Genomic DNA, 11718 nt, shown 5'->3' on the forward strand with positions numbered 1-11718 from the left:
GGAGCATGACTTGCAGAGAAGAGTGAGTGGATAAGCCAGGCCAGGAGAGGCCCGGGATTTGAATTGTATTCCAAAGGTTATACTGAGCCTTAGAAAAGCGTGCAGTGGCAGTAACACAATTAGATTCATGTTGCAGAGAGATCATTTGGGCAGTGGAGTGAAGGATGAACTGGTGGAGAGAGGTGAGCCAGGCAGCAGCAAAAGCCATTAGAAAGGCAGCCAATGGCCCCAGGCTCACCCATAATGGGTGGCAGGAGCAAAGAAGGGCAGATGCAAATGAGGATACCAGCCCCTCTTTTAACCAACCAAAGACCTGCACGCATTTCAGCCAGGGCTAGAAAACGTCCTTCCACACCGGGCATTGTTGATGCTGCTTGGACATCGAACGGGCAGTCACATTTAACATGGCCAAAGCAGGCTCCCGGTCCCTCCCTCCCTCCACATGACTGCCCTCCCCACTGTCAGTCTGTCCATTTCAGAAAATAAACATCAAGATTTCCAAGGTTCTAGGCCAAAAACCTTGGAGATTTCCCTCCCTCCCTCCTTCCTTTCCTCTCCTCCTTCTTCCTCTCCTCTCCTCCTTCTTCCTCTTGTTTCTTTCTGCCCCCAACTTTCTCTTTCTCACATTCTCTCTCTGTGTCTCCTATCCAATCCTTCAGCAAATCCTACAGGTTCAACCTATGCAACAGAACCAGAACTCATCTGTGTCTGACCACCTCCTCTGCTCTCCCCTTAAGTTCCCATCACCTCTTGCCCAAATCACTGTAGTTTCCTCCTTACTGCATTCTCTATTTCTACTTTTGATCCTCTGATATTTTCTCCAAATGGCAACCACAGTGATTCCTTTAAAACAGCAATCTAGTCCAGACACCACCCTGCTCAGAGGTTCCAACAAGTCTCCATCACAGTCTCAAGTCCTCATCACAGCCTCCCAAACCCCCTCCAGTGAAGTTTCACACCCCTCCCACTTGCTCTGCTGCGCCCTAGCCTTGCTCCTGGTTTTGCCTCCAGCCCTATGCACACACCTCAGAGTCTCTGCATATGCTGTCCTCTGCCCGCAGGTGTATGTGTCACTCAAACCTTCTCTTACCCTTCTCTTCAGATGTCTGCCCCCCCCGCCGAAACCTTTCCTGAACACCTCATCTAACACAGCACCTTGTTGACTTGCTTCCAATCTGTTTCCTGGCTTGCACGAAACTCCATGAGCTCAGAGCTTGGGCTTGCTCTATTCAGATCTTACCCTCAGCTACTGAACAATGCCTTCCATCAGCGGCCATCATCATTAAACGTGTCCCCAAAAGACTGTGCACGTGAACCAATACGGCAAATGGATGAAACCCCACTCATGGATTCGAGCTTTCTCCTTCCACTCAAGTCCCCAACAGAAGTGACTCAGCAGGCCATGCTAACAGTGGCACTGCTCAGCCTCTCTTGAGTTTGAAGAAGTCATTGGGTTTTTGTGACGTGTGGTGTGTCTAAGGAAATGAGTACCATTTGCCAACACATCAGGTGAGACCTCAACAAACTACTACAGCCTGGGAGAGAGTCACATTTCGTCATCTGCAATTTGTGAGAAGGAAAAAAGTATTTATTATATCACACAATTTGATTTTTCTCTCCAGCTCTCGTGACTTCTGAGAAATCCTGTTTGGACAATTTCATGACTTGGAGGCAGCCTCGATGTGCCCTTCTCCAGCCGGGTTCTGGTGTCAGGAATAATGAATGGAAGGTCAGGAGAGAAGCCAGTGTTGATTTGACTAAATACTCCAAGCGCCTAAGCAAGAGGAGAGCAGGCTGATAAAGTACTCCCCTACTGCCCAGGGCAAAACCTTTAGCTGAAAGGCGGCCTCGCTGTCCATATTAATAAAGCTCAGGTTCAGAAACTGGCATCACAGAGTATTTGCAGGAAAAGCTCGACTCAAAGCTTTAGAGCCAACAAAGCTTCTTTAAAACATGGTATTGAATTAAAAATGGAAATCAAAAACATGATGTTTTTAAAACTTTAGCTAAAAGGCTAAAGTATGAAAGTTTCTGAAACTTGAATCGATAATACATCATTTTGCACGTAAGATTCTAATCTTACAAACTTCAAAGACCCAAGGTATACCAGACTCAGGAAAAAAAACCAGAGTTTCATTCTCACCGAAGATTCCCTGCATTAGCCTGGGAACATCCTCATGCAACTTGGGTTGAACTTTTCATCTCATTTCACCGTCATTGCAGGTGATGGAGAGTAAAACTGGGAAACCCCATCAGAGCTGCTGTGTGCCTCCACACCGTTAAGGACTTGCAACCGCACTCTTCTTAAAGCAGGTAGAATATAATTTGTACATCTGACAGTCATCAGACGCTGGCAGTTCCGTCTTTTACAAATGATAAAAGGCAATAAAATATGCCGCTTACACAAAAGTTGTGATTGATGTGGGCCTCAGATTTCTAACCCACTCTTCTTCTGGTTTTTCTTATTCGATGGTAAAGATCTGATTAACCTAATAAAAACATGCTGGCTGGTTTACCTTCCCTACAGCCTACAGAGGGAAGACAGGTAATAACTCTCCATAATACAGAGTCCCCTCCAGATAGTTCCAGTGCCTGGATGAGCACAATTACCTTCAGTGGTACAGAGTAAGCTTCAACGCTTTGGTTTTGACAAATCAATCATCATTCATGTTTGTAGGCTTGACATGCATGTCTCACTGTCCATCCAAGTTGACTTTATTAATTTCCCATGGCTGCTGTAACAAATTAGCACAAAGTCAGGGGCTTAAAACAATACAAATGTGTCCATCGTGTTAGAATTCTGGAGGCTGATGTCCCGCATGGGTCTTGGGTCTCGCTGGGCTGAAACCAAGGTGTCAGCAGTGCCAGGTTCCTTTCTGGAGCCTCTAGAGGAGAACATGCTTTCTTCTTGTTTTCAGCTTCTGGGGACCCCTGCACTCCTTGGCACATGGCCCTCTTGGATCTTTAAAGCTGGCGAGGTTGGGCTGAGTCCTTCTCACAGCACATCACCCTGAGCTGCTTCCACTGTCACCTCTCCTTCTCCAACTCTGACTCCTCTCCTGCCCTCTCTTCCACTTTTAGGGGTCCTTGTGATTACATTGGGACTGCCCAGGTAATGTAGAATAATCTTCCAATTTTAAGGTCAGACGATTAGCAATCTTAGTTCCAACTGCAACTTTACTTCCCTTTTGCCAGGTAAGGTAACAGGTCAGGGCTTAAGACATCTTTTGGGGGGCCTTTATTCTGCCTACTACATTAATCAAATTAACTGCAAAGGCACCCTGTTCCCAGCAGATACACACACACACACACACACACACACACACACACACACACATCACACCCAAGCTCCAAGCTCCAGGACGAATTGGGCAGCCAGACATGGTGAGTACAAGCTCACTGACCACCATGCCTCAGCCTGCGTCCCCTTCTTCTTGTACCTAAAGCAACATTTAATCACAGCAAATGCCTTTTTTGGTATCTGAACCTTTAAAATGTCAAGAAAGAGAGATAAAAATGCTCAAGAATATGCTTAGTACATTCTTGAAGGGATAACATGAATGACGTTATGAAATTCTAATTAACTGTGAAACAAAATTTCCAATGATGAAATTTCTTTGCAGACACCCAATAACTTTATAGGTAAGATAAAAAGGCTTTAAACCTGTTACTCTTCATTTAATCTCTGAACAGACATTTCCTGTAGCACCTTCAATATGCCAGGCACATTGCTAGGGACGTAACAATACCCAGGAGAGAGAAGGTGACTGCCAGTTTGGAGTTTACATTAGAGAGGAAAGGATCAGCTGATCATTCTTTTTCCATCCCTGTAACAAAATCCATCTAATGTTTTAGAGGCACCAGGCAATGAAGCTCAGTTTTGCCTATTGGCATCATTTTTATTTGACCACCTAATTATATTCTCTTCCCTCACACGATTATGTTCAGGGCTGGGATCTGGCTTGAGCTCAGCCACCGATTAGCTATCTGCTGAGCAAGGAAAAACCATGAAGCCTGTCTCAGCCTCACTTCTCATTGGAAACAAGAAAGAATTACAGAAGTGACTTCCAAGATCTTGCTCAACTTATTCATTCATGCTCCAACCTAAGTTACAACAGCAAAAAGAGACACTTGGTGGGGAAAAATACCAAAATTCTATTAGATGCTCAATATCCAGACATATTAGTGAAATATTACTATTGCAGGGAGGGTTGACCAGTAGTTCCCAGCCAGGGCCACTTACAGGACACAGTATCTTCGGCTGGTCAGAATGTTTCAAAGAGAAAGAATGCCAGGAAAAGACCAGCCTGTGCAGAATTCTTTGGAGCAGGGCTGGTGGCTTACACCTGTAATCCCAGCACTTTGGGAGGCTGAGATAGGTGGATCACTTGAGGTCAGGAGTTCGAGACCAGCCTGGCCAACATGGTGAAACCCCGTCTCTACTAAAAATACAAAAACTAGCCAGGCATGGTGGTGGGTGTCAGTAATCCCAGCTACTCGGGAGGCTGAGGCAGGAGAATCACTTGAATCCAGGAGGCAGAGGCTGCAGTGAGCCGAGATTGCACCACTGCAGTCCAGCCTATACCACAGAGTGAGACTCCATCTTAGAAAAAAAAGAATTCATCGGAGAAGTAAGGATGATGCTGCCTTTGCTGGGGCCACCGATTGTTGGGCTGACTCTGTCCTGGGCGTCTCCCTTTTGTGGCTCCTGTGACCCAGGCTGATGCACGCAGGCTGACATGTTCCTTCCTCCTAGCCCCAGATCTGTGGCATGCACAGTACTGCTGGGGTGGGGCCCCTTGACCCTCTCGGGGGCCTTATGGACAGGATCCAAGATGACTGACACCAGTTGTCTCTTCTGTGTGGGCTGCATCAGGTCCCCAGGAAGCATTTACATGCTTATTTTTAAAATGTAGGCTTTATTATTATTCGGGTATGGTGAGGCAAACAGACCAGAAGACAGCCGCTGTTGAAAAGTTTGTTACAGTTGCCAAGAAGAGGAGGCCACCATCCCATGCAGGGTCACATGAGGAAGCACTGGGGTGGCCAGGAGGCAGGAGTGAGGGAGAGTGTAGCAAGAGTCTTTATTGTGTTTTTTGTGGAGAGAAATGGGTAAAACAGGGTGGGCAGGGCTAGGGTGGCGAGTTTGAATAAGGTCAGCAGGCTCTGGGGTATAGGACCTGTCCCTCGCTGTCTGGTACCTGGCCTTGGAGTGATTAGGACTGGGGAATGCCGGCCTGGAGTGGGAGAGATTGATAAAGAAGGCAACTGGGGGATACAGGCTTTGGATGGACTGGTTTGCATATGGCAGGCAGGCTTGCAGGAGGCAGGAGGAGTTACTCTCTCTAGGAATCAGCTAGCTTGAATGGGGTGGCCTCTCCCACATCAGCAAGTCCACAACATGTCAAAGCATCATAAAATACAGAAGCTAAAAAACACGATTAATACAGGGCTCCTCATCCTGACCACACTTGGGAATGCCAGTCAGTCCCAGCCCGCTGCTCTCTGGCAGCCACAGGCTCCAGGGGGTCTCTCACAACCACAGGTGCAGGCGTCAGCCTCTCCAGCTGCAGAGACACATTTCACCTTGCAGGGCAGCCTTGTGAGCACGTCCTGTCACCGTGCTTGAGTGGTCCCTTCCCAGCTTAAGGGAGGAGAACAGTGGGGTGGGACAGGGGTGGGGGACAATCAGTCTTTATCTTCAAAGAAATCTCTTCACATCTTTTTTTTCCATTTTCTGTTTGAGTGCTTAGGAGCGGTGAAACTTCTTTTAGAAGGCTTCCTTTTGTAAATTCCACCTATGAAGATTTGGCCCCATAGGTTGATGTGGTTTGGATGTTTGTCTCCTCCAAATCTCATGTTGAGACATGATCCCTGGGGTTGGAGGTGGGGCCTGGTGGAAGGTGTTTGGATCATCAGTGGACCCCTTATAAATGGGTTTAGCCATCTCCTTGGTGATGAGTGAGCTCTTGCTCTGAGTTCACATGAGATCTGTGTAAAAGGGTGTATCCCCCAACACACACACACATTCCCCCTCCACCGCACTCTCTCTTGCTCCTGCTTTTACCAGGTGATACCAAGCTCCCATTTTGCCTTCTGCTGTGAGTAAAAGCCCCTGATGCCTCCCAAAAAGCTAAGCTATGTCAGCACCATCCTTGTACAGCCTGCAGAACCGTGAGCCAATTAAACCTCTTTTCTTTATAAATTACTTTGTCTCAGGTATTTCTTTATAGCAAAAGTAAGAACGGCCTAATCCATAGGTTGTTTAGTAAATGACATCTATCATATTGGAACCCTTGTGAAATTTCCATTTTAACAACCCGTTTCATTGTAGTTACTGTAGATCTAGAGGGTCATGAACTTAGGAGCCAGGTGCTGCAGCAGCACTGTGGATGGCCGCCCCAAATCCACTCCCCATGCCACGCTTGATGGCGGAGTCCCGTGTCATTCAGGGAGCTTCCTCCAGACTACCGTGAGCCCAGGGAAGAGACATTTTCCCGCACAGGAGAGTCAGAGAGCACCCCTAATCATCCCGTCCTCCCACCGGTTTTTGGATTAGGCATCACCTCCAGATTCAGGTCTGGCTGGTGAGACAGGGAGAGATGTCTGCCAGGGGCTCTGGGAAAGACCTTTCTTGCTCTTAAAAAAGAGACAACCAGGATAAACAAAATGTGGTACATCGATGCAAGGAAATATCGTCTTCCATAAAATGGAATGGTACATGCTATACCATGGGTGAACTCGGAGACACGATGCTGAGTGAAAGAAGGCAGACATGAAAGCCACGTGCTGTATGATTCCATTTCTATGCAATGTCCAGAAATGTCAAATCTAGACAGACAGAAGGCAAACTCGTGGTTTCTGGGGGCTTGGAGCTGGGAGAATGGGAGAGACTGCTTAATGAGTAAAGATGTCCTCTTGGGGTCATGAAAATTTCCTGGAACTAGAGAGTAGTGATGGTTGTACAATGTTGTAAATGTGTTACATGCTATTGAATAGTATCTTTAAAATGGTTAAAATCGGGGATTTTGTATCATGTGTATTATATCACAATGGTGAGTGAGAGAGAGAGGACCAGGAAGGAGCAGTAGCTTTTCTGCTGCTCTGCAGGACGGTAGGAGAAGGTCATGCCAGGGCAGCCATTACAGCTGTTCTATGACCCTAGGGGACAGGCCTGAGCTCCAAGCCAGCAGCTGAGGGAGGCACAGCCCCGAGGCAGGGAGAGGCAAGAACTTGATGTCTGTCCTGAGCCTGCAACCACTCAATTCTGGAACATCTGACCTCTGGGTTTTTTGTTATGGAAGATTTGAAATGTGCCATGTAGAGGCAGAACTCCTTGGAGTAATGATTACCTCCTTTCAGACCACTATACGATTTCCTTTTCAACTAACTGCTGATCTTAGAAAATATGGTTTGCCAAGAAAAAATTTCATTGAATTCCCAAAGGGCAAGATCCATCTTTCCTGTCCCCTTGAGGAAACCTCTACCCAAACAGCAGAACCGAAGAGCAAATTTGATTCCTCCTCCGTTGCAGATATGATTACACTAATTTTGTTACGGATGAATGGCGGGAGCACGGGATGTAGGAGCACAAAGCCCCTGGTGTATTTGGTTTGGGGGTTGGTTTCTTTTTCCCTGCAGTCTCCGGACTGTTTTTTTTTTTTTTTTTTTTTTAAGCTTCTTCAAGGGTATAAATACATCCTGCAGAAATCATGGAGTGAATGGCCCCCTTATGGCCCGAAAGAGTTCAGTGCGGTTGATTTGTTCCCAAGGTGGGGCACAGACCCAAGGAGGATTCACTCCGGGATTTCTCAGCTTCCAGGGGTTGCTCGGCTGCCTTCATCTTGCTTCCACCTCTTCAACCATCCTGGTATTCACTCATCCCAAATAACATTGGTTTTATACATTTAAATTTGGAAATCAAAGTTAAGCCATGGCGTAGGGTCAGAATTTTTTTTACAAGAGGAAGGAAAAAGATCCGGTCCCACAAGAATTCACAGGAAATGGCTCTGGGTGAGTGCTGAATCCCAGTGAGTGGGAAAAGAAAAGTGATGCCCGGCTGGGAGGAAACGCTGAGAGCAAAAAGGGGTCCCACCCCAGCCCACGAGTCTACCCACGACAGGTTGGGGACAGACTCCTTCACCCAGACAACGACGAGAGACCAGATGCCCCACGAAACACACATTTTTACCAGTTGCTGAGATTTCTGGCTGTTTTCTTTTCTTCTTTATATTTTTTTCTGGATCGGCCAATATTCCTCACAAGAAACATGTCTTATTTTCCAAATAAGGACATATTTACTTTTTGACCTTTTAAAGTTCACACCATCTACAAGGCAATGTGAAAATAAGTTTCTAAGCGTATTTGGGTAACAAGGGCAAGTTCTTTTACATCTTCTGAAATGTATTTTTACCTTTTTTTTTTAGCAGGTTTAAAAACGTCCAGTCTATACTGTGGGTGTGTTTCTCTGGGGTGCGTTCATAGTAGTGATGTTAGTCTCAAGATAGGAATTGGTTCATCTTAGAACCTCCGACAGTAGCTCACTGCCTAAAGCGTCTATCGAAATGGTTGTAAACATTCGCTTTCTCTAAACTGACAGTTTTCAGTCCATTGAATGTAATCCAAGGAAACTCATGATTTGGATTTTGATGTTGAAATAAAACCATAAATCTATTGGGTGGAGAAGGGGGAATGTGCCCTTTAATTTGGATCCAAGTACCTGAAATTCAAGGTATTTCCTTTGATAAATAACATCACAGCAATTCTGGGTGTGAAAAGGACCCTTTTCAGCCACAAAGTAGAAGAGCAGAGCCACAGGATGATTTCATACCTGGAGAAGTGTGTTTAGCATTTGCTTTGCCAGAGAATCCCTTTTAAATTTACTGTAAATAAAAATGCCAGCCACACCTTGCAGTAAAAACTCCCCCCAACTTTGCCTCCGCTCTTCGCTTTAGGAAAGAAAAAGTCCCTTTATGTCTGCCAAGTATTTTAAGTTTCCTTTAAAACTTTAAAATGTGTACACGTTCATTGATGTCCAAAGACTTTATTCCATGTGAAGAAAGCACTTTTCATATAGAAAAAAACTAACCAAAGGATAAGGGTGATGACAAAGGTTAAATCTAAGATGGGCAGCAAGAGTGGACTTCCTCTGTCATCTCCTCCCAGGATAGTGGCAGCAGGGAACCATGCAATCCCAGCTATCCACCTAGAATAACTTTAATTAACTCTGTGTATGTGTGTCTGTGTGTGTGTATGTAAAACCTTTTTTAGTTGTTGATTTCAACAGCTGTTGATTTCAAACCTAAAAGTCTTGCTGCCCCACCTTCCACCATTAACTCTCCCCACGTGCTGTGTCTTCATGGACTCTGTTTCTGAAGGAGAAGGAGATGCTGTTCCCACCCCAGGTACAGCCAAGTGGGCTGTTTCTGTCAGGAGCTTTCTCACCTGTCTCAGCCATACTGTTGGGTGGGAACTGTGAAGTCTGTTAACCTTGGTAGTGGGTTGAATTTTGTCCCCCAGTAAGATCCGTCCAGGTCCTAGTTCCCAGAATCTGTGAACGTGACCTTATTTGGAAAAAGTGTCTGCAGCTGTCATGAAGGATCCCAAGATGAGCTCAACCTGAATTTAGGGTGGGTCCTAAATCCAGTGACTGGTGTCCTTATTAGAAAAAGGACAGGGAGATTTGAGACACAGAGACAGAGGAGAAACATGAGGGAGAAGGGAATGTGAAGACAAAGGCAGGGACTGGAGTGACATGTCTGCAAGCCGAGCACTGGCTGCAGACACCAGAAGCCAGGAGAGGCCTGGAACAGACTCTCCCTCGGGTCCTTCAGAAGGAACCAGCCCTGCGTGAGCCTTGATTTGGGATTCATGACCTCCAGAACTGTGGGATAATAAATTTCTGTTGTTTTAAGCCATCATGTTTGTGATACCATCAATGACAGATCACATATATGATAGTGGTCGTATAAGATTATAATAGCAGGTTCTTACTGTACCTTTTCCATGTTTAGATATGTTTAGATACACAGACACTTCCCATCATGTTACAGTTGCCTGCAGTACCCAGTAGAGCCACATGCTGTACGGGTTTGTAGTCTAGGAGCAACAGGCTATGCCACATAGCCTAGGTGTGTAGAAGGCTATGCCATCTAGATATTCTATGATGTTCACACAACAATGAAATCATTTAACGTTCATCACATTTCTCAAACCATTCCCCTGTTGTTAAGCAATGCAGGGCTGTAACTTGTTATGGCAGCTCTAGGAAATTAACAGGATCCTGATCTAGGACCTAGTGGTTCAGCCCAAATCCCCAAACTCTGGGTTATTCCACTTTCTTTTAGCTGCCAACTCCACCTACAACCCACCTCCTCACCCTGGCCCCCAACTGTCTACACCTCTTCTGATTGGCTCCTTCTACCAGCAATTCTTGACCCTGGCTGCACATCAGAATTACAGAAAGTTTTAAAACAATACTGAGGCCAGGATTTCACCAAAGACCAACTTAAAAAGACCATCCGGGGGCAGCAGCTGAGTCGTGAGCATGATGGTAATTGTACAGTGGGAGTAAAAGAACCTGCACCAACCCCAGAGCCTCCCTGACGTTCACCCTCCTCCCTTCCCACATGCTGCCTACAGAGGTCTCTTCCACGGCCACACTGATGACAGCTCTCTGCACCCATGGGCTTCAAATTCAAGGTTGCATAACAATTTCCTGGGAAATTTGTAAAAGTGCAAATTCCCTAGGCCCTACCTACAAAGACCCTGATTCTATAAATCTGGTAGGCCAGAATATGAGTTTGAACAATCCTAAAATGTGTTGCACAGTGGAATTACCTGGGGAACTTAAAGAAAGACAAACACAGAAAACCAGTGTCTGGGCTGGGCGTGGTGGCTCACACCTGTAATCCCAGCACTTTGGAAGGCCGAGGCGGGTGGATCACCTGAGATCAGGAGTTCAAGACCAGCCTGGCCAACATGGTGAAACCCAGTCTCTACTAAGAATACAAAAATTAGCTGGGTGTGGTGGTGCATGCCTGTAATCCAAGCTACTCAGGAGGCCAAGGCAAGAGAATCACTTGAACCCAGGAGGTAGAGGGTGCGGTGAGCCATGATCGCACCATTGCACTCCAGCCTGGACGACAGAGTGAGACTCCATCTCAAAAAACAAAAACAAAACAAAACAACAACAACAACAACAAAACAATGTCCGAACCACACCCCAGATCAACTGAATCAAAAACTTTCAGGGCAAGCACTCAGGCATCAGAATTTTTTAAATGTTCAAGCTGATTCCAATGTGCAACCAAGCTTGAGATCCGTTGTTTCAAGAAATGCTTACTGTATGCCAGCTACAATGGTGAGTAAAATAGATGCTTCGTGCCCTTCTTGAGTATGTAGTCTGGTAGGGCAGCCAGATAATTTAATTATTTAAATATACAAATAAATAGACGTTTCGAAAGTATGAAGTGTGCTGTGGTGGAAAGAACGAGGTACTAGGACTGATGTGGGTTGGGGACACCCACATGAGCAGGAAGGAGCTACAGAGAACAAGCTGAGTTCTCTCGAGAACCAGCCACAAGCCTTCTCCAGCCATGCCAAAGCACATCCCTCCACATGCCTCCCAGAGCTCAACTCTATGCCCAATGGTACAATTCCTGCCCATGCTACGCATCTGAGCTTCACAAAAGGAAATGGATTCCACGAGCTGTGAGC

General features: G+C 46.0%; 1 long non-coding RNA gene across 2 annotated transcripts in view; it reads right to left on the bottom strand.

Annotated features, from left to right (window-relative positions):
- The window catches only part of LOC101927896 (uncharacterized), a 95712-nt gene that overhangs the window by 15873 nt on the left and 68121 nt on the right, over nucleotides 1-11718 (bottom strand). Inside the window, exon 6 of one of the 2 annotated variants that reach the window (XR_002959457.2) lies at nucleotides 8192-8328. This is a non-coding gene — a long non-coding RNA (uncharacterized LOC101927896). Of the gene's footprint in view, nucleotides 1-1566; nucleotides 8329-11718 lie in introns of those variants that run through there. The other variant, XR_007088126.1, reaches the window with a different exon arrangement.

Source organism: Homo sapiens, chromosome 2 (assembly GCF_000001405.40).
Source record: "Homo sapiens chromosome 2, GRCh38.p14 Primary Assembly".
Lineage (NCBI taxonomy): Eukaryota > Metazoa > Chordata > Mammalia > Primates > Hominidae > Homo > Homo sapiens.